Here is a 24,263-nt window from a genome sequence, read left to right on the forward strand (position 1 = left end):
TAAATAAAGTTAGGAATCTCAATTACTCGTTTTAATATGTTGGCCTTTGTTTTTGTTTTTTTTTTTTTTTGGTGTTATGCTTTTTTCATTTGTTTAGCTTAATTTTTTTCCCGTAAGAAATAACATTAATTGTTGGCAGTTTTTTTTTTAATAAAAGCCATTTTGTAAATGTTCATGTTCCCAGTGGCAGTGGGAATACAAAATGGAGGCAGAAGAGAGGTATCGTCAATATGATTTAGTGATAATTGAATGAGAAAGGCTTGGGGGACAGAGAGAAATCTCAGATGATGTACAGGTTTCCAGGTTGTACACTAGTATTTAACCTAGACGTGAGGAAGGAGTAGGAAATTTTCTGGTGAATACAGAAGAGCAAAGAACAGCAGGTCAGCAGGAATGACTAATGTTTTTCTATGCATGTTTAATGGAATATTCGTGTAGGATATTTTGAGTAGGTAATTGGATAATCAGCATTTGTAACTTGCATCCTAGTAGTCTGACTCTCACTAATAAGACTTGTCAAAGATCCAAGAATCTGAAAGTGGATGATAAATGTCCATGTGTATCACCATCCATGACCGAAAGTCAGCATCCACAGAACACAGAATTGGGACAGATGAACTTAATAGATAAAGATGAATATCGGAGTTGTTCCTCTTAGGGAATGATACTCTCCATGAGCTGTGTGAGTCACGGCTGCCAGAAAAGAAAGAGCAAGGAGCGTATGAAGGCAGCACAGCAAATTCAGTCCTAGAGTGCCCTGCTTGGCTTCGTGTCATAGTTCTGACTTCTAATAAATCATTTTCTGCAAAATATGCTCTGTGTTTTTCCCTCTTGCTGCCTGCAGCCAAACAGAATCCCTTTAGCAGGGCATTTTTGTGTTCTTCCTTTAAACAAGGCAACATATAAATAATGAAAACAAGAGAAAGAGTGGTTTTTGTATGGGATAGTATTTAACGTAAACTTGAGAGTGAGTACCAGGATTATACTTAGAATTTATGGACTGGATGGGAAGACTGGATAGAAATCTAAAGATTGCTGACTCAAACACAATGTAATTTCTTTGCTTTATTGTCACAGCTCTGAATTCACGACTCTTAGTTGTATTCATATGCACTATAACTTTACAAAGCATCTTCCCAAACCAAATCTTTACTGATTTATTATAATTTGTATGACTTTATTATAGAATTGACTTTCCAAGTGTTCATGAGAATTATTGAGAATTCGCTACATAGTATCATTTCAGTTGTGTCCACATGAATTATCAGTCACCTTGTCTTAATGAATAATGGTTCACTACAAATATTGGTTTTGGCATTTAAAGTGATCTATATCTAAATGCAGATAGGACCAGGGACCACTCTTGAACATTAATGTCCAAGCATCTTAAAATTACACATGAGGCTTTCATAATCTGACTTCTGCCCCACTCTCCATCTTTAGCCCTTTTCCCTGTGTGCCCTTTCTCTGGCATTACTGAGCTGCTGGTAGTGCCCTACTCACTCATCCTTCTGTTGTAGGCAAATACTTTCATTCTTTCAGGCCTCGCTCCCGCTCTTGCTGCTGCCGGCCATGCTGTCACCCTTTCCTGCCCTCTACCCCTTTTAATCTGGCCAGCCTCAATATTTAAGTCTCTGCTTGGGCATGTGTTCTAGAAAAGCCATCCCTGAGATGCTTTATTTTCATTCTTTTTAGACCCTAATGCCTAGCATGTATGTAGCAGGACTCAATACAAATTTTCTGAGTAAAACAAAGACTGTTTTTACAAAGATGATGTGCAAGACTCTCCCCTGCAGTTTTGGAGCAGAGGGGACAGACATATGGAGAAATAATGTACAGCTTAGCGGGTAAAGATGCCGTAGAAAAATCAGTAAAATACTAAGGCAGCCTCAAGGAAGGAGATACCTGTTTATTTGGGGAAAGACATGCAGAATCAAGGAAGACTTCACATAGAATTGTTTCAAAAGATGAAAATAAGGCTGGGTGTGGTGGCTCATGCCTGTAATCCCAGCACTTTGGAGGCTGAGGTGGGCGGATAATGAGGTCAGGAGATTGAGACCATCCTGTCCAATGGTGAAACCCCATCTCTACTAAAAATACAAAAATTAGCTGGGTGTGGTGGTGCTTGCCTGTAATCACAGCTACTCAGGAGACTGAGGCAGGAGAATCGCTTGAACCAGGGAGTCAGAGGTTGCAGTGAGCTGATCGCACCACTTCATTCCAGCCTGGTGACAGAGCAAGACCCTGGCTCATTAAAAAAAAAAAAAAAAATTAAAATAAATTTGTCAGAATTATGGAGGGAAACATTTTAGATATTAGGAAAATGTTGTACAGTAATAAAGGTGTCAGCAGTGATTTTGGAAATCATTTATAAGGTACTATTAGGAAGTGGAGAACAATATACTGTGTCACTTTATTGTTTCTACTGTATTTTAAAGCTGTGTTTATGGTGGTTTTGTTCATTTATGTTGGGTGGATGAATTTATGAGGGAATTTTTAACATGTGTGTATGTCTTCAATCTGGTGACATCTGATGTCTCCCCAAGTGGTTTTTTGAAGTTTTTGAGAATTATTTCGTAAATGACAATTTCATGAAAGATTAAACACTCAATTTATGAAATAAAATGAAATGTCTTAAATCTGTTTTTAAAAGGCAATAGTTTTTAACTGTTGTAAGTGGTTGATTTTAACTGAATATATGGATTTTTCAACAGAACAAGACTTAAAGCTGACATCAGAGGAAGAGTCACAAAGGCTTAAAGGAAGTGAAAATAGCCAGCCAGAGGCATGGAAACTCTTAAATTTAAACTTTTGGTTTAACGTTTTTTTTTTTTTTTTTTTTGCTTTAATAATATTAGATAGTCCAAATGAAATTACCTTTGAGACTAGGCTTTGAGAATCAATAGATTCTTTTTTTAAGAATCTTTTGGCTGGGGGGGTGGCTCATGCCTGTAATCTCAGCACTTTGAGAGGCTGAGGTGGGCGGATCATGAGGTCAGGAGATCGAGACCATCCTGGCTAAGATGATGAAACCCCGTCTCTACTAAAAATACAAAAACTTAGCCGGGTGTGGTGGTGGGCACCTGTAGTCTCAGCTACTCAGGAGGCTGAGGCAGGAGAATGCCATGAACCTGGGGGGTGGAGCTTGCAGTGAGCCGAGATCTGCCACTACGCTCCAGCCTGGGTGACAGAGCAAGACTCTGTGTCAAAAAAAAAAAAAAAAAAAAAAAAAATATTTTAATAGATTCTTAAAATTTATTGTAATAAATTCAGCAACCTTATTAAAAGAATCAATAGGTTCTAATTTAATATTTGATATTTAACTTCAACATAACCCACTATGAAATTTAAAATACTCTTATTTTAAAATATTCTTATCTGCCTTCTTGATTAGCTTATAGCTAATCTTTCCTTTTGGAATAGAGGCAAAAACAAATTTCAGAACTTTGTTCTTTTATTTTTACAACACCCTAACATGATGAAGAATGTAACATCAATTATTGGATTATATTATTAAGCAATAGAATTATGAACAATGTAACACTGATGGTCCCTGAGCTGGATTCATGGTTAAAGAGTAATCATGGCCAGTGATTGAAAATCTGCAGTTTTATATTGTCAGTCACTGATACTAAGGTTAAAGATATATTCTGCCTTGTGGTCTCTCATTGACCTCAGTGTTTCTGTTCAGGGAGGGAACCAGGTCAAAAAAGCAACCCAACTGCCTATTAAAGGAATCATATCTTGCAGAATGGGACCTTTGGTGTTAGTGCACAAACACAATAACATTCTAATTTATTTCAGTTGCAGAAAATCAGGACAGATTAAAATTTTTATCTACTGTCATTAGTACATATTAGAATATATTAGAACTGGACTTAAGCAGATAATCTAGATACATAACACTATCATATTACAGTATATAATTTCAATTAAAATGTAAGAATTTGCATCTCTTTCTGTTTGGTGTTGATTTCGGCTCCTAATAATTTAAAGTGTGCCTACAATCCAGTTAGGAATCTTTTGAAAAAGCACTTCAGTGCACTGTAGGGGCTCACTAGTTAGGGTTTCATGAGGTAAACTCTTTTCAAGTGAGGAAGGTTTTGCAACACTACAAATGATCTGCTGATTCATTTTTGGTAGATTTAACACATAACAAATTAAGTTTAGTCCGAACAAATAGTGACCAAGTTAAGTTTGCTGGTTCATGTTTTTCTTCTCCCTTTGGCTAAGGTGAATTATTTTTCACATGTTAGAAGCCAGTGATGTGGCGGTAGCTAAACATAGATTAAAAAGTTAATCTTAATTTTAATTATTATTTATTTTTTAAGTTTAATTTTAATTATTTTCTAATTTTTATTGTCCATACTTGATTACTTAAGAATAAAATTATTTTAAAAACATGTGCTCCAAAAGAGGAGACATCACAGAAATACAACAAGCAAATTAACCTTCTGTTTTTGCATCTGCAGGAAATGTCTCAAGAACCAGAAATAAATAAGGGTGGTGATAGAAAGGTATACTTTTATATTCAAATGTTTGCGTTGAATTAGATTTTTACATTATGTTGTTTAACAAAGTGTAGTAAGTGTAGGCATACGTGATCCTATCATGTAAGTAGCATAAATCATCAGTGAAAAATTTAATACTTAACTCAGAATTCTATACATTGAATTTTAAAGAGATGCAAACCCTAGAGATATTCTTTCATTATTATGGAATAGTCCCAAATGGTGCCGTAAAATGCTAAGTAATGCCACTTTAGGAGCTTTGGATCAATAATTTTATCTTTCTTGGTTTTAGTCTGATTATCAATAGAAAATGTGGCTAAAGTAGATAATTTTTTATTCTGTGTATTTTCCAGCTAGAAAATTTTATGGCTATCGAATGTGAAATTTGGGGAGCAACTCATTTTCTGGAATTCCATGATTGTACCTCTGCAGTTTCACTCTGCTCCTTATGTTGTGGGAAACTTTGGTTCCCATGTTTCAGTGAGCACCTTCGTGTTTTTGATATCCTAGGAACCTAATGAAAAAAGAATGCTCAAAGGCAGTGGGGGAGAAGAATATCTTAGTGCAGAAAAGGGCCATCTTCCGTTCTATTCCTGAAGCCCCACGGTGTCTCATCCTCTAAAATGACTGTTTAATGTAAAATCTAGGTGGTAAAGAGGGATGAAGACACATTTTTCATCTTTGTCTTTTTATTTATGTGTTCCCACCAGTCAAATGGGGGTAAATACATATATAAGATTCTGAAGAGTGATTGAGAATAAAAGCACAAAATAAAGGAGGGCCCTTTTTGAATTTTGGAAAATTCTGTTTTACTCATTGAAACAGAAATGAAGCAAACTTTACAAAAATTTCTGTGATATATTAGTGATATGATAAGTACATCTTAAAATTATATGGTAATAGTTCTGTGTATATGATCCAATTTAAGAGTGAAATGTTTTTAATGACTAAAATAATGATAAACTGGTCAAGTGATAAAATCAATTAAAAATATTCTTTCTATTCAGTAAAGGGATAACTATCCTTAATATCAAACTTTCATTCAAGGTTGAAGAAGAAATGAAGAAGCACGGAAGTACTCATATGGGATTCCCAGAAAACCTGCCTAACGGTGCCACTGCTGACAATGGTGATGATGGATTAATTCCACCAAGGAAAAGCAGAACACCTGAAAGCCAGCAATTTCCTGACACTGAGAATGAACAGTATCACAGGTAAGTCTGTGGCAACATTGAACAGGAGATAACTCTATGCTGTGAATCTAATTCATGATGAACAAATTTTATACTTTTACTAGGATATTCAGCCTTGCCTGTTAATCAGAAAAATGAAAATCAGTAAACAATGAGTTACCATTTTTTCCAGTCATTAATTTATTTGAAAAATAGCCAGTATTGGCAAATGTGAGGGAAAAGGCATTTTCTTTTCTTTTCAGTGACCTTTTATTTTAGCTTCAGGGTACATGTGCAGGTTTATTATATAGGTAAACTGTATCATGGAGGTTTGGGGTACAGATTATTTCATCAGCCACATAATAAGCAAAATACTCGAATGGTAGTTTTTTGGTCGTCTCCCTCCTGCCACTCTCCACCCTCAAGTAGGCCCCAGTGTCTGTTATTCTCCTCTTTGTGTCCATGAGTTCTCATGTTTAGTTCCCACTAATGAGTAAGAATATGTGGCATTTGATTTTCTGTTCCTGCATTAGTTTGCTTAGGATAATGGCCTCCAGCTCCATCTGTGTTGCTGCAAGGGAAATGGTTTCACTGAAAAAGACATTTCATACACTGTTGGTAAATACATTTTGAACATTAATTTAGTAGCATATTCACACACACACAGATATATAACAGAGTAAGGATGTATAATACATGTAAAGGATATTTGTGTAGATATGTTACATACATACTTACATATAAGGACATTTATTATAGCATTATTATACTAAAAATTTGGAGCTAGTCTACTCCCTTATCAATAGGAAATAGCTCAATGTCCATACCCCCAAAATAATGTATTATGCAACCGTTTTTGAAAAATGAGGTTAGATCTAGGGTATACTGATTATTTCACAATTAAAATGTATTTAAAGCATTTAGTTTAATGACACATCTTAGGAGTTCTTGTTAAAATTCTTGTAATATCTGCTGTGTTGGAAATGGAAGCTACATGCTACATTGACACTGTACCTTGTTAGCAACAAGATTGCTAATTATTAAATTTTTGTTGTCAGTGCCTGAGTGCTGAAATATTGGACCCTCAGTCTGAATATTGCCAAGGGATTGTACATGGGGATCTATATTTAATATAAACATTTCAGTGTATTGGGTAAAACTTTTATTAAAATACATCAAAGATCTTTGATCTACTAAACCAAGAGTTGGCCAGCTTTTTCTGCAAAGAACCAATTAGTAAATATTTTAGGCTTTGTGGACTACATATATTTATTTTCTTGAGACAGGGTCTGGCTCTGTTTCCCAGGCTGGAGTGCAGTTGTGTGATCATGGTTGTGTGATCACTGCAGCCTCGACTTTCTGGGCTCTAGTGATCCTCCCACCTCAGCCTCTCTACTAGCTGGGACCACAGGTGTGCAACATCACACCCAGCTAATTGTCACTATGGACTGTAAAGTGAATAAGCATGGCTGTGTTCCAGGATACTTGACTTACAAAAACAGTCAGTGGGCTGGATTTGGCCCACAGGTGCTTATTTGCTGACCTTTGTGCTAAAAGGAAGGTGCTGCTAATGCATTGACTCTTATATGTAAAAGTGTCCTGCATGGGTGACATTATCTTTCCTTTGAGAAAAGGATATATTTGAGTATTCACCTCACCATATTTTTCCACAGTGACTTCATATAATTTTAAAAACTTCATTTATAAAATAAGATTATTTTCTGCATTTCTCTCTCTTTATTCCTGTTAATAGAACTCAGTATTTTACTGTGATCAATTACTTTGTATATTTGATGAGTGTCAACTGTCCTAGAATTGGCTGATTTTTATCAAGCAAGAAATATTCTCGTTGAGACCTTTAGTATTTCTTGGTCTTTATGTATAAGCATGAACAAAATGATAATCAGCTTATGTAATCTAGAAATGTTCTAGGGGCCTTTAAAACCTTGGTCTGGCATTTAATGCCACATGTGTATAATTTTTATAACCTTTGAAATATATAATTGTTACATAGCATTTGAAACCTCCACCTGTTATGTAAAATTTGGAAACTATTTCTTGTCTATCACTTTTCCATGACTGTGGATGAAAATTACATCATTCTCAGTCGTGAGTGTTAAGTATGTTGTCCTTTAAGTAACTGTCTACACTCACGAACTCAAATTTTCTTTCCATTCACTCTTGATCTCAATGCCAGTAAGTCTTCAATTTCAGCACTCCTCCAGAGTTGTTTTTCTCAAGGTTATCACTACTTTTTTCTGTAAATAAATCTATGCATTTTTTTCTTACACCTCATTTTATTTAATCTGTCAGCAATATTTGAGCCAATGGAGGGCATCTTCTCCCTAACGGCGTCTTCACTTGGCTTTCAGGACCTCACTCCCTCAGGCTTTTACTCCTGCCTTTCTAGTCCATTCATCACGGTCTGTTTTGCTTGCTCCTCCTCATGTTTCTCCTTTTGGACATTGCTGTTTCTCATGGCTCAGTCCTCAATCTTCTTTCTCATGACATTTTTTTTTTTTAAGATGAAGTCTGGCTTTGTCCCCTAGGCTGGTGTTCATTGGCACGATCTTGGCTCATTGCAACCTCTGCCTCCTGGCTTCCAGCGCTTCTCCTGCCTCAGCCTCCTGAGTAGCTGGGATTACAGGTGTGTGACACCATACCTGGCTAATTTTTGTATTTTTAGTAGTGACAGGGTTTCCCCATGTTGGCCAGGCTGGTCTCAAACTCCTGATGTCAGGTGATCTGCCTGCCTTGGCCTCACGAAGTGTTGGGATTACAGGCATGAGCCACAGTGCCTGGCCCTTCCTGACTTTTTCTACTGTATATATGCTAGTGATTTCCAAATGCATGTCTCCAACTCAGATCTCACTCCTTAATTCCAGATCTCTGTATCAGCCTGGCTACTTGACAGGCCTAGCCTATCAGACGTAGCTACCTAATAAATAGTTATTTGATTAGCTGTTGAGTATCACACACTTGTCAGATCCAAAATTGGGCTACTGATGGCCTTCCTGAAATCTACACCTCATGTAGTCTTTCCTACTTTGGTTAATGGCAACTCTTCCAGTTGCTCTGCCAAAAACCTCGGTGTCATTCTAGACTCATCTTTCTCTCTCTCTTGACACTTCACATCTAATCTCTCAGTAAATCTCGTCAGGTCTACCTGAAGAATATGTCCAGAAGCCAGTCATATCTTGTACATGTGAGCCACCATCATCTGCCATCTAGATGAGTGTCATAGACTGGGAATTGATAGTCCTGGTTTTTAAAAATTTCCCCTTTCATCAATTCTTAACTCAGTGGATGTATTTAAAACATAAGTCAAATTGTGTCATTCCCCTGCCCCAGCCCTTCTGATTGCCTCCCATTTCATGCTGAGTATGTGTCAGAGTTCCTCCTAATAACTAAAAGGCAGTCAACCATCTGGCATGTTATCTCTCCTGCTTAAACTTCTGTTTCTTATCTCTTTTGCTCTGTTTCAGCCACACTGAACTTCTTGCTATTCCTTACCTATCTCTAGTGCTTAAAAACTCCAGTCACACCTCTGCACTTAGCAGTTCCCCGTGTCTGGAATGCTTTTTCCCCAGATATTCTTCTAGCTTACTGTTTCCATTACTTCAGTTTTTTACTTAAAATCCCCTTTCTAAGAAGAAGAAAAAGGGTAAAAAGAAACACATTAAGGAATAACCACTTTCGGAGGAAGAACCATGTACCAGCACAATTCCTAGTCCAGAGAAAAATGAAGAAAAAGAAAAAGAGATAACGAGGACTAACAGAAAGGAATTACGATTGTATCACCAGGACGCATCAGGCTTAAGATTCAATTGGGAGCATACCAGGGATTCTCTCTAACGTAATTGAGGGAAGGTTCAATGAAACAGTGATTTATCATCTCTAACTTCAAACCTATTTGTGTCTTGACATCAACTCTGTTAACATCATCATTTTTTAGAGTCTTTGATGTACAAATAAAAGTTTCTTTGTGTTAAAGAAAAATCCTCTTTCTCATCAGGGACTTTTCTGGCCATCCCAACTTTCCCACGACCCTTCCCATCAAACAGGTAAACATTTCATTTTCCTGCTTTAGTTTTTCTCCTCTAATGTACTGTGTATTTTGCCTTATCTGTCTGTTGTTATTGTGTGTTTATCTCACTCTCATGAATAGGGTTTTTATTGTTCATTACCATATCCTTACTTCTTAGAAAAAGGCCTAGCCTATCAGACGTAGCTACCTAATAAATAAGTATTAAATGAATGAATGGAGTTTATCCTGGCTATATTGTTTGATTGATTCTCACTTAAAAAGTGTTTGACAGAGTTCATTTTAACAATTTTGCCTGGTAATTATATGTATTTTTAAAATTCTTTTGGCTTTTTATAATCTACATTCTTTATGTTAATATTTTTTCACTTAGGGAGAAAAGTCCAATATTGTGGTTATTCACTATTCTTTTACTGGTAATCATGATAATTGCAATTATGGTAAAATGAGTCAGAGGAATTGCAAACTTTACTGGTATTTTATTTATTTAGAGATAGAGTCTTGCTCTGTCACCCAGGCTGCAGTGCAGTGGCGTGACCTCGGCTCACTGCAACCTCCGCCTCCTGGGTTCAAGTGATTCTCCTGCCTCAGCCACCTGAGGAGATGGGATTACAGGCGCGTGCCATGATGCCAGGCTAATTTTCGTATTTTTAGTAGAGACGGGGTTTCACCCTGTTGGTCAGGCTGGTCTCGAACTCCTGACCTCAGGCAATCCACCCGCCTTATCCTCACAAAGTGCTGGGTGGATTACAGGCGTAAGCCACCATGTCCGGCCACTAGCATTTTATTTAAAAAAATATTAGGGTGGTAAATGTAATGGACTCACAAATTGTTTCCAAGGGATTATAGACCTTTGGTATTTGAAATAAAAAGACAGTTGGAATCTTTTGCTTCGGATAGTAAGACTATACTGGTCAGGCACTGTCTATTCTGATGAAGCAGCTGTTGCTGCTTGGCTGTCTTTCAGAAGCAAGCTGCTCACATTGATATTGGTTGGTGAGCAAAGCCAGTGGTCATTGATCGATTGACTAGATTTTGAACTGGCTCTGGGTGGCTTCTTGTTACCATGGCTACAGGTCAATTCTTTCCTAAGTTTGAGTCAACTTTAAACAGAAATTTTCTGTTCAAAAGTTGCCTTCCATTAACTATGTTCAAAATGAAACTTTTTAATATTTCAGAATTGTGGATTTAAAGTTTTGGTTATGATGACTTGGTTAATAATAGCTCTCACGGAGATTTTTTTTTGATACATCGTCTTAACCAGAAGAGTTCTCTGTATAATTTATTTCTTAAAAATAATTGTTTTGTGTTTGTTTTGGGTATTTTTAGAAGCTTTTGCTCAAGTCCTAACATAATCTCCAGTAGGAGATTTTAGTCTGTCAGTTCATGTATGTATATGATAGTCATATTGTCATATTGTCTTTTTAAATTCCTTTTTATGTTCACTTTTTTCTCTGTACAATAATAGTGATGTTGTTATACATTTTTATCTCATTAAAAAGTAGTTACAATATTCTGCTGGCAAATCTAGCTTTTTATATATTTTGACTGAATAGGTTAAAAGTGAAAAAAATTTATCAGATCATTCTATTTTCAAACAAAATCATCACTAATAAAAATTATTATTTTGAATTATAAATAATGACATTTAGATATTTTAAAAATAAGGATACCCCCCCACAATAGTTTGGCTTTGTGTTTCTATGCAAATCTCATGTCAAATTGTAATTCCCAGGTGTTGAGGAAAGACCAGCTGGGAGGTGATTGGCTCATGGGGTCGGTTTCCTCCGTGCTGTTCTTGTGATAGTGAGTGAGTTCTCACAAGAGCTGACGGTTTCATAAGGGGCTCTTTCCCCTTCCATTCTCTCTCTCCTGCCGCCTTATGAAGAAGGTTCCTGGTTCCCCTTCACGTTCTACCATGGTTGTTAAGTTTCCTGAGGCCTCCCCAGCCATGCATAACTGTGAATCAATTAATCCTCTTTCCTTTATGAATTATCCAGTCTCAGGTATGTATGTGTATGAATTACCCAGTCTCGGGTATGTACATACGTATATGTGTGAGTGTATATACACACATACGTATATGTGATATATATATGTGATGTGAGATATATATATTTTTATATATCTCCATTTTCTTTATTCCATTCATCAGTTCATGGACACTGGCTGATTCCATATCTTTGCATATTGTGAATTGTGCTGCAGTAAACATATGTGTGCGGGTGTCTTTGTGAGAGTACGATTTCTTTTATTTTGTGTAGCTATCCAGAAATGAGAATGCTGGATAAAATGGTAGGATCTATTTTTAGTTCTTTGAGAACTCTCCATACTGTTGTCCATAGATTTGTATGAATTTGCATTCCCACCAGCAGTGTATCACTGTTCTCCTTTCACCACATCCACAACAACATCTGTTGTTTTTTGTTTTCTAATAGTGGCCATTCTGGCTGCAGCGAGGTGATATCTCACTGTCATTTTATTGTGCATTTTCCTGATGATTCGAGATATTTCGCATGTTTTTATATGCTTGTTTACCGTTTGTACATCTTCTTTTGAGAAATGGCTATTCATGTAATTTGGCCACATTCTAATGGAAATATTTGTGTTTTTCCTGTTGATTTGTTTGAGTTTCTTGTAGGTTATAGATACTAGTCCTTTGTTAGATTCATAATTTTCAAATTTTCTTCCCATTGTGTAGGTTGTTGGTTTACTCTGATGATTATTTCTTTTGCTGTGCTGAAGGTTTTTAGTTTAATTAGGTCTTATTTATTTTCATTTTTGTTGCATTGGCTTTAAGGTCTTCATCATAAATTCTTTGCCTAGGCCAATGTTTTCAGGTCTTAGGTTTGGGCCTTTCATCCATCTTGAATTAATTTTTGTATATGTTGAGAGATAGAGATCCAGTTTCATTCCTCCACATGTGGCTCTCTTTTTTTCCCAGCACTATTTACTGAATAACCTGTACTTTCTCCAGTGTATGTTTTTGTATGCTTGCTCAGAGATCACTTGGTTGTAGCGGCTTTATTTCTGAGTTGTCTGTTCTGTTCCGTTGATCTATGTATCTGTTTTTATACCAGTACCACGCTGTTTCTGTTACTGTGGCCTTAGAGTATAATTTGAAGTCAGGTAACGTGATGCCAACATATTTGTTCCTTTTGCTTGGTATGTCTGTTGCTATTCAGGCTCTTTTGTGGTCCTACATGAATGTCAGCATTTTAAAATAATTCTGTGAAGAATGACATTGGTACTTTGGTAGGAATTGTATCGACTATGTAGACTGCTTTGGGCACTGTGGTCATTTTCACTATATCAGTTCTTTCAGTCCATGAACATAGGATGTATTTTCATTTGTTTGTGTCATCTGTTATTTTCTTTGGTGGTGTTTTCCAGTTATCTTTATATAGATCACTCACCTTTTTCATTGAGCATATTCCTAGGTATTTCACACTTTTTTGCAGCCACTGTAAAAGGGATTGGATTGTTGATATGAACTCTCAGCTTGGTCGTAGTTGGTGTGTAGTGGTGCTACTGATTGGTATTCATTCATTTTGTAACCTCTGAGACTTTACTGAATTCATTTATCAAATCTAGGAGTGTTTTGTAGGAGTCTTCAGGGTTTTCTAGGTATAAGGTAATATCATTGGTGAAGAGATAGTTTGACTTCCTCTTTTCCAATTTGGATGCCCTTTATTTCTCTTGCCCAATTGCTTTGCCTAGGACTTCCCAGTTTTATTCTTAATATGCATGAAATAAAAGTAAAATGGAAAGTGCTTAACGATGAGTTTATTTCACATCTCTCTCTCATACACAGATAAAATTAATTCAAAGTCCTATGTTAAAAACATAATATTAGACCCTGTCTTGTTCTAAAAGGAATTTCTAAGTTGTTTATAAAATACATAGGAATCAAGAATATAAGTGGAAAATGTTTCCAAAAAATAAACACAAAAAGTATGAGTTATAGGCCATAGACCAGTACCAGTCCCTGGCCTGTTAGGACCTGGGCCACACAGCAGGAAGTTAGAGGCAGGTGAGCAAGCAAAGCTTCATCTGTTTGCAGCCACTCTCTGTCGCTCGCATTACCACCCGAGCTGCTCCTCCTGTCAGATCAGCGGTGGCATTAGATCGTCCTAAGAGTGTGACCTGAACCCTGTTGTAAGTTGCTCATGCAGGGGATATAGGTTGTTCACTCCTTATGTGAATCAAATGCCTTTATGATCTGTCACCATCTCCCATCACCCCCAGATGGGACCATCTAGTCGCAGGAAAGCAAGCTCAGGGCTCCCACGGATTCTACATTTTGGTGAGTTATATAATTATTTCATTATATATTAATAATAATAGAAATAAAGTGCACAATGAATGTAATGTACTTGAATCATCCTGGAACCATCCCAAACCTCAGGTTCCTGGAAAAATTATCTTCCGCAAAACCAGTCCCTGGTGCCAGCATGGTTGGGGATACTCGGTTAACAGATGTGAGACCCCTTTGCCTTGTCTTGGAATAATGTGCAGATATACATTGTGTGAATGACATCTGATGGCGCCATCTTGCCCTGTAGATCATTTTGGGGACACCTCCAGTATTTCATGAAAATTAATTTTTTTTCTAGTGATGAACAAAATGATACTCAGAAGCAACTTTCTGAAGAACAGAACACTGGAATATTACAAGATGAGATTCTGATTCATGAAGAAAAGCAGATAGAAGTGGCTGAAAATGAATTCTGAGGTATTTAGTTATTTTCAAATGTTTTTATATGTGTATATATTTTTTAAAAACTATGTATTTTGGATATACAAAGGATTTTTAAGTCATATATATGTGTGTATATATTCTATATATCCTTTGTCATGTATCTATATCTGTACATATAGGAGAAAGCCATGTTCTTAATTCAACTCCATTTGCCTGCAACAGTCGAGTAGTGACCTTCACAATGGCCTCAATCCAAAGGAGAAGCATTTGATATTTTTCATAAGAATTGATGATCTTTCCATATCAAAACTAAGTTTTGCTACTAAAAACAAATTTTCTAGTTTTTGGACATTAGTTTTGTTAAAAAATGTTAATAGAGAAGTCAATTGATGGTTTTCACTGATAGGAAAGTAGGAAATGTATAGTTGGGTCAGAGGCCACATTGTGGATGTCATCATCCTTACTTTTGTGGAGAGGAACACTTTGCTCCAAGTAATTTCTCATTTCAATGTAAAGAGGTTTGAAAACAATGACATGCCATGATATACATTTAGTGATAATTTATTGATAAGTATTTTGTTCCTAGAGAAATAGTTGAGTATATTTCCCCTATTTCACAGTTACTACTGTTTCAAACATTATAAAGAGGAAATAAAAGTTATCACAATGACAAATAATCTCATGATTTCTAAGAAAATCTCTATAAGTTGCATCTTACTTACCATTCATATTTTGAAACAAAAGGCTTCTTTTGTATTTATATATTTACACCACAGAAGTAACTGTGGTTTTGTGGAGGATCACTAGAAGTAGCATCAGCAGACCTGGGGAAAATCCTGCATCTTGTATATATTTTTTGACTTCTCCTTTTAAGAATCACGATCTTAAATGAGTTCAGTGTTGTATGTAGGAGTGCAATGCTTAGATACAGATGTGTACAGTGTAGAAGGGTACAGTGCTTAGATTTAAGTTATGAATAAATATAATTCTTATAACTGAGTATAAAAATATTAGAAATGTAGAATATCGGTAAAACGTTCTTCAGTAAAAGAAACTTAAAGAACTTTGAGAAATTGCTTCTGTCCAAATATATGCATAGCTAAGGCTCTTAGGATGGTGTGGTTGATAGGTTAGATATCAGAGTATAAACCTAATCTTAAAAATATAGTCAAATGTATTAATCTTATATTTTATGCCTCTGGGTTTTTTGTAACTCAGAGAAAGGCTTTTTTAATTCTGAGATTCTTAAAAATCCTCTAGTGATTTATTTTTCATAGTCTTTAAATAAATATTTAAACTTTTAGGAATTCAGGAGCAGATTCCTAAAAGTTTAAATCTTTATTTAAAGACTATGAAAAATAAATCACTGGAGGAATTTACACTCTGCTAGGTTTGGAGTTTTGTCCAGTTTTTTCCAGTTAAATATCCACTATGGGGATTCTTTCATTATACAAATACAGATGTTATTTTTTAATTTCAGAAGAAATCATGGTATATCAATCTATTGAGTGCTAACTAAAAGTTCCCTTTGTTTACTTAGCTTTCTCTTAGTTATAAGAAAGAAAAAGACCTCTTGCATGAAAATAGTACGTTGCAGGAAGAAATTGTCATGCTAAGACTGGAACTAGACGTAATGAAACATCAGAGCCAGCTAAGAGAAAAGAAATATTTGGAGGAAATTGAAAGTGTGGAAAAAAAGAATGATAATCTTTTAAAGGGTCTACAACTGAATGAGCTCACCATGGATGATGATACTGCCGTGCTCGTCATTGACAACGGCTCTGGCATGTGCAAGGCCGGCTTTGCAGGTGACGATGCCCCCCGGGCTGTCTTCCCTTCCATCGTGGGGTGCCCCAGGCACCAGAACATGATGGGGGGCATGCGTCAGATGGAGTCCTATGTGGGCAATGAGGCCCAGAGCAAGAGAGGCATCCTGACCCTGAAGTACCCCATGGAGCACGGCATCATCACCAACTGGGACGACATGGAGAAGATCTGGCACCACACCTTCTACAATGAGCTGCGTGTGGCTCCCGAGGAGCACCCCATCCTGCTGACCGAGGCACCCCTGAACCCCAAGGCCAACCGTGAGAAGATGACCCAGATCATGTTTGAGACCTTCAACACCCCAGCCATGTACGTGGCCATCCAAGCCGTGCTGTCCTTGTACACCTCTGGCCGTACTACTGGCATTGTGATGGACTCTGGTGACGGGGTCACCCACACTGTGCCCATCTATGAGGGGAATGCCCTCCCCCATGCCACCCTGCGCCTAGACCTGGCTGGCCGGGAACTGACTGACTACCTCATGAAGATCCTCACCGAGCGTGGCTATAGTTTCACCACCATGGCCGAGCAGGAAATCGTGCGTGACATCACAGAGAAGCTGTGCTATGTTGCCCTGGACTTCGAGCAGGAGATGGCCACAGCGGCCTCCAGCTCCTCCCTAGAGAACAGCTATGAGCTGCCCAACGGCCAGGTCATCACCATTAGCAACGAGCGGTTCCGCTGCCCCGAGGTGCTCTTCCAGCCTTGCTTCCTGGGCATGGAATCCTGTGGCATCCACGAAACTACCTTCAACTCTATCATGAAGTCTGATGTGGACATCCACAAAGACCTGTACACCAACACAGTGCTATCTGGTGGCACCACCATGTACCCTGGCATTGCCCACAGGATGCAGAAGGAGATCGCTGCCCTGGCGCCTAGCACGATGAAGATCAAGATTGTTGCTCCTCCCAAGCGCAAGTACTCCGTGTGGGTCGGTGGCTCCATCCTGGCCTCGCTGTCCACCTTCCAGCAGATGTGGATCAGCAAGCAGGAGTATGATGAGTCAGGCCCCTCCATTGTCCACCGCAAATGCTTCTAGGTGGACGCTGACTTAGTTGCATTACACCCTTTCTTGACAAAACCAAACTTCGCAGAAAGCCACATGAGATTGGTATGGCTTTAATTGTTTTCTTATTTCATTTTTTGTTTTGTTTTTTATTGGCTTGACTCAGGATTTAAAAACTGGAATGGTGAAGGCGAGAGCAGTTGGTTGGAGTGAGCTTCCCCCAAAGTTCTACAATGTGGCTGAGGACTTTGATCGTACATTGTTTTTCTTTTCAATAGTCATTCCAAATATTGTGAGATGCATTGTTTCAGGAAGCCCCTTGCCCTTCTAAAAGCCACCCCACTTCTCTCTAAGGAGAATGGCCCAGTCCTCTCCCTAATTCACACAGGGGAGGTGATGGCATTGCTTTCATGCAAATTACGTAATGCAGAATTTTTTGAATCTTTGCCTAAATACTTTTTAATTTTGTTTTATTTAGAATGATCAGCCTTCGCGGCCCCCCTTTTTTGTACCCCAACTTGGGGTGTATGAAGGCTTTTGGTCTCCCTGAGAGTGGCTGGAGGCAGCCAGGGCTTACCTGTACTCTGACTTAAGGAGAGTTGGAAAAAAGTGCACACCTTAAAAAAAATTCAATGAGGAAGCATTAACAAAAACAGTATTTCTGTACAGTGGACAGCTTAGCATGTTGACAACTGAGAATAAAATGCTCAGTTCTGAACTGGACAATGTAAGACACAACGACGAAACACTGGAAATGGAAATTCAATTACATCATTGTAGACTGGCTACTGCTCTACATGATTGTGACCAAAGTCAGAGAGCTGAAAGAGACTTCTTTCCAGAGAACAAGACATGAACAGGTTTATTTACAGAAGACAATGAATTCTCATTTGTCTAACCTAAAAGATTACAGAATCTTTCTCAACAAGTCTAATGTAGACAGTAAAATCAACAGGCTAAAAATTAAGTTCCATGAAACAAGATAAAACTCTGAGAGAAAAGATGGGGCAGGCCGCCATCTTTCCCGTTCGGGCAACTTAGTCATTCCAGCCTGAGGGCTTTGGAGAGTACAAACTGACCAGGGAAAGAAGAGATCCCAGAGCACAGCATAGCTGCTTTACCAAATCATGGCCAGACTGCTTCTGTAAGCAGGCCCCTGATCCTGTTCCACCTCACTGGACAGGACCTCCCAACTGGGGCCTCCAGCTACCCCCACCAGCATCCCTTGGCCAATGGAAATTTGAAATGTTCCTGGGACAGAGCTCCTGGAGAGAGGGGCAGGCCACCACCTTTGCTGTTTGGGTGACTAGCCGTTCTGGCCTGCAGGCTTTGGAGAGCCCAAGCTGACAAGGGGTAGAAGAGGTGCCTCAGCACAGCACAGCCACGCTACGAAAACATGGCCAGACTCTTGTTTAAGTCAGTCCCCGAACACATTTCTAGTCAGTGGGTGAAGTCTTTCAACCAGGGTCTCTGGCTACCTTGACTGCTGTTCTCTGGCCGACAGAGGTCTCAGGCCTCCCTGAGTCAGAGCTCCCGGGGGGAGGACCAGATTGTCATCTTTGCTGTTTGGGTGACCCAGCCATTTCAGCCTTAGGGCTTCAGAGTGTCTGAGGTAGCCAGGGGCTGAAGTGAACCCCCAGCACAGCACAGCTGCTCTATAAAAACGTGGCCAGACTTTTTCTTTAAGCAAGTCCCTGTTCTTATTCCTCCTGACTAGGTAAGACTTCTCAACTTGCCTCCAGCCACATCTTATTGGTGTGTTCAGATTGGCAACAGGTTCGTACCTCAGTGGTACAGAGCTCCCAGAGGAAGGGGTAGGCTATCATCTTCCCTGGAAAATACGAGTCAATTAGGGACTTGAGGGGACCCCCAGCATTCCACAGCAGCCCTTCAGAAAAGTGGCCAGACTCTGTACTTGATGGGCAGATCCTCCTGGCCTGTGTCTCTAGCCAGCCCACCACTGGAGCTATCAAGCCAGTAGCAACTCAGCAGTTCCTTGGACAGAGCTTCCAGGAGCAAATGAAATCCTTTCTGCCACTGCCTTTGCAGTGAACTGCCCTTGCTATCCTCAGAAGATATATCACGGGAGCAAAGACCCTAAGTGCCATATCAACACCTCCAATAAGCTGCAGTTGACCCAAAGAACAAGCCAATCCATCTCCCATAGGTACCACACACACTCCACTACTCATCACCAGACAGGGAACCCTGGCTTGGGCCCACAGCACAGACCCTCCATCCTGGGCCGATTACACTGAGTGATTGCTAACTCACATGTCTCTGGGATGGAGCACCCAGGAGACAAGCAAAGTGGTGGAGCAGCAAGTCAGGTGATGTGGAGCCCAGAGGGCAGGGACAGCTATCTCTCTAGGCTCCACTTGCCCTTGTGAGACACTTTGTCCCAGCACTTTAGGAATGCTGAGGTCAGACCAGCCACATCTCATGTGCAAGATTGCCCAGCAGACATCAGGTCTGAGAGTTCCCCTTTTAAAAAAGGGGACTTGCTTAAAAAAGAAGTCTAGCCACGATTGTGTAGAGCAGCTGTGCTGTGCTGGAGATTCACTTTTGAGAGAGTTCTCCTCTGAGACCTGATCTTTAGAGGCTGGGCAGTCTTGCACATGAGATGGGGCTGGTCTGATCTCAGCACTCCTTAGTCTGCTTGCCTCTCCCAGGGCCCCAGCCTGGCCACACCTGCTTACAGGGCACTCTCAGATGCCCATACCATAGTTTCTGTGCTAGTGGACCGTACCATATCAGTGGAGAGCTGCAGCAAGGTGGCCCCTACGGCCACGCACCAGCCTGCACATTACCTCTCCATACTGCAGCCCTTTATATGGAAACTTCCTACATCACTTTGCTGTGTGTGTTTACACAGGTGGATTTTGCTTTACTTGCACTGACAGCACACAGGAGGGCAGCACACACCCCAACCCACATCAACTGCCATTAAAGAAAAGAAATTTCAGCCCATAATTTCATGTCCAGCAAAATTAGGCATCATAAGTGAAGGAGAAATAAGATCCTTTTCAGACAAGCAAATGCTGAGGGAATTCAATATCACCAGATCTACCTTACAAGAGCTCCTGAAGGAAGCACTAAATATGGAAAGAAAAAACCATCACCAGCCACTACAAAAATGCAGTGAAGAACGCAGTGAATTACGCAGTCCAGTGATGCTAAAAACCAACCACATACGTTAAGTCTGCAAAATAACCAGCTGACAGCATGACGACAGGATAAAATCCACACATACCATTACTAACCTTAAATGAAAATGGGCTAAATGCTCCCATTGAAAGACACGGGGCAAGCTGGATAAAGAACCAAGACCCACTGGAGTATGCTGTCTTCAAGAAACCCATCTCACATGCGGTGGCATACATAGGCTCAAAATAAAGGAATGGAGAAAAATATTTCAAGCAAATGGAAAACAGAAAAAAGCAGGTGTTGCACTCCTACTTTCTGACAAAACAGACTATGCGAATAAAGATAAAAAAGAGAAGGACATTACAAAGGTGGTCCTGACCTTTGATAAATCTCATTGCTTGATACCAACCTGGGCTGTTTTAATTGCCCAAACCAATAGGATAATTTGCTGAGGTTGTGGAGCTTCTCCCCTGCAGAGAGTCCCTGATCTCCCAAAATTTGGTTGAGATGTAAGGTTGATTTTGCTGTACAACTCCTTTTCTGAAGTTTTACTCATTTCCAAAAAGGAAGGCAAGTTTTCCTGCTTCCATGACGATGGAGAGCAGGCATCTCCTTTCCTGAGTTTCAGCTTGCTTCTGACAGGGAAGGTGAGTGTAAGTTTTTTCCAGCTTCTAAGATGGCAGAGAACGATCACCAGCCTGAGCCTTATTTCCAGGTAAGTAGCTGAATTAGAGTTTTGTCTTAAAATTTTTCCTTAATGAATAAAATGTAAGATTACCCACCAGCTGCTTTTAATTTCTCCTTAGCATTAGAACACTCAGTAATCATATGAATTGTGCATTTGTTTGTTTTGCTTAACTCTTTCTGTTTGTTTATGTTTGGGGTTTTATTGTTGTTGTTTCACTTTTCTCCCATCTCTTCCTGACTTGGTCAAATCCAAAGGAATCTTCCAAATTGTGGGGAGCAAGGCATCTGAAATGGCTAAAACTCCTGTGGCTGCAAAAAATAAAAATAAAAAAAAATATATAAAAAAATAAACACACACAAAAAATGAAAAACAAAAACAAAAAACACAAAAAAGCCAAAAGAAAAAACCCCCAAAAAAAACAAAAAAAGGCAAAACAACAACAACAACAACAACAACAAAAAAAAAAACCCAAAAAACAAACAAAAAAAAAACACAGAAAATCCAGTTGGAAATTTTTTAAAACTTTTTTTTTATATAAGTGGTCTCATCTACATAACAAGGCCATCTTTTGCTAGCAAAGGCCAAACTGAAGGAGTAATGGTGGGGACCGAATGTTAAGATTCTGCCCTGTTCACTACAGAAACCTGAGTTTGGTTCCTAAGTCTAGTTCTTTCTGTTTGATATTTGTGTTGCTTTTAAAATATCAGCAGTTTGTCCCAGCTATGATGTGGTAGTAAGAGACTCAAAACGATTTTCTTTACAAGTTCTATGATAAAAGCTTAATTAAAAGAAAATTTGTTTTTTTAAAATTATACTTTAAGTTCTGGGGTACATGTGCAGAACATACAGGTTTGTTACGTAGGTATAATATACACATGCCATGGTGGCTTGCTGCATCCATCAACCCATGATCTGCATTAGGTATTTCTCCTAATGCCATCCCTCTCCTAGCCCCCCACGCTGACAGGCCCTGGTGTGTGATATTCCCCTTCCTGTGTCCATGTGTTCTCATTTTTCAACTCCCACTTATGAGTGAGAACATGTGTTTCTGTTCTTGTGTTAGTTTGCTGAGAATGATGGTTTCCAGCTTCATCCATGTCCCTGCAAAGGACATGAACTCATCCTTTTTTATAGCTTCATAGTATTCCGTAGTGTATATATACCACATTATCCAGTCTGTCACTGATGGGCATTTGGGTTGGTTCCAAGTCTTTGCTGTTGTGAACTGTGCCGCAGTAAACATACGTGTGCATGTGTCTTTATATTAGAATGATTTATTATTTTTTCAGTATATACCCAGTAATGGGATTGCTGGGTCAAATGTATTTCTAGTTGTAGATCCTTGAGGAATCAGCACACTGTCTTCCACAATGGTTGAAATAATTTATACTCCCAGCAAGAGTGTAAAAGCATTCTTATTTCTCCACGTCCTCTCCAGCATGTGTTGTTTCCTGATCTTTTAATGATGGCCATTCTAAGTGGTGTGAGATTGTATCTCATTGTGGTTTTGATTTCCATTTCTCTAATGACCAGTGATGATGTGCTTTGCTTCACGTGTTCTTTGGCTGCATAAATGTCTTCTTTGGGAAGTGTCTGTTCATATCATTTGCCCGCTTTTTCATGGGGTTGTTTATTTTCTTGTAAATTTGTTTAAGTGCTTTGTAGATTCTGCATATTAGCCCTTTGTCAGATGGATAGATTGCAAAAATTTTCTCCCATTCTGTGTGTTGCCTGTTCACTCTGATGATAGTTTGTTTTGCTCTGCAGACACTCTTTAGCTTAATTAGATCCCATTTGTCAATTTTGGCTTTTGTTGCCATTGCTTTTGGTGTTCTAGTGATGAGGTCTCTGCCCATGCCTGTGTCCTGAATGGTATTGCCTAACACAAGGACATTTCTGTGCCTGAATGCCATACCACCCAAAGTTATTTATAGATTCAGTGCTATCCCCATCAAGATACCACTGACTTTTTTCAAAAAATTAGAAAAACTACCTTAAATTTCATATGGAATCAAAAAAGAGTCCGCATAGCCAAGACAATCCTAAGCAAAAAGAACAAAGCTGGAGGCATCACAGTACCTGACTTCAAACTACTCTACAAGGCCACAGTAACGTAAACAGCATGGTACCGGTACAAAACCAAGTATATAGACCAATGGAACAGAACAGAGGCCTCAGAAATGACACCACACTTGTAAAACCACAAGATCTTTGACAAAACTGACAAAAGTAAGCACTGGGGAAAGGATTCCCCATTTTATAAATAAATGGTGTTAGAAAAACTGGCTAGCCATATGCAGAAAACCGAAACTGGGCCACTTCCTTACACTTTATATACAAAAATTAACTTAAGAAGGATAAAAGAGTTAAATGTAAGACCTAAAAGCAAAAAACCTAGAAGAAAACATAGGCCACCAACCTCAGGGGAAATATACTTGTAGTGAAATGCATGGTACAAACGCGCATTCCCTGCTTCCTTGAGTGGGTGAGGTTGGTGGCTGGTCCATCTGCTCCAAGCGTACCCTTACAGAGGTGGCTGGTTGCTCTTTGAGGCAGCTTGGCCTTGCCTGGCATGCACAAGCTTCAGTGCAACAACTGTGCTATAAATGGAGCCACATAGGGGAAATGAGCAGCAGGCTTAGGACCAGGGTGTACACTGCCTTTGGGGCTCCAGTCCGTGCCTCAGGGATGGTATGGCACTGCGAGCTTCTTGGTTGCCAAGAGGCAGATCACAGGCCGTTTTGAGAAGGACTTCATGTTCAACTGCAGAAAGCAGCCAGGATTACCATCTAGGGTACTTGTCCTTCTGTGGCCCTGGCCAGACTTAGAATTTGGGCCAATGCAGGACAAGCTCACTCGGAGCTGTGTGGCAGTCGCTCGGGCGTGTGCATGCCAGGCAAGGGCAAGCTGGCTCAAAAAGCAACAAGCCACCTATTCGAGGGTGGACCTGCAGCAGGTAGACCAACCACAAACCTCACTTAACCAAGGAAATACATGGCCTGGTTCCCACAGCCCGAGTGGCTGCCACGTGATGGCTGATAGAGCAGAGGATTTCAGAAAAGCAGATGGCCCTTTGGTCCTACCTTTAGGGTAGAAGAACTGATGTGCCATTTGCGGGAGCGAGTGAGGTTGGTGGCTGGAGAACCGGTTCCTGGCACACCG

General features: G+C 39.3%; 1 protein-coding gene and 1 pseudogene across 1 annotated transcript in view; both read left to right on the top strand.

The window, feature by feature from the left end:
- The window catches only part of POTEM (POTE ankyrin domain family member M), a 36,319-nt gene extending 15,263 nt beyond the window's left edge, over window positions 1-21,056 (top strand). Inside the window, exons 7-11 of the mRNA NM_001145442.1 lie at window positions 2,715-2,785; window positions 4,473-4,517; window positions 5,559-5,725; window positions 14,345-14,463; window positions 15,971-21,056. Coding sequence (NP_001138914.1) covers window positions 2,715-2,785; window positions 4,473-4,517; window positions 5,559-5,725; window positions 14,345-14,462 — 401 coding nt within the window. The 3' untranslated portion in view covers window position 14,463; window positions 15,971-21,056. The remainder of the gene's footprint in view (window positions 1-2,714; window positions 2,786-4,472; window positions 4,518-5,558; window positions 5,726-14,344; window positions 14,464-15,970) is intronic.
- On the top strand, window positions 16,164-17,891 carry ACTBP10 (ACTB pseudogene 10; annotated as a pseudogene).
- Window positions 21,057-24,263: the final 3,207 nt, after the last annotated feature.

This window comes from Homo sapiens, chromosome 14 (assembly GCF_000001405.40).
Source record: "Homo sapiens chromosome 14, GRCh38.p14 Primary Assembly".
NCBI classification, from domain to species: Eukaryota; Metazoa; Chordata; class Mammalia; order Primates; family Hominidae; genus Homo; species Homo sapiens.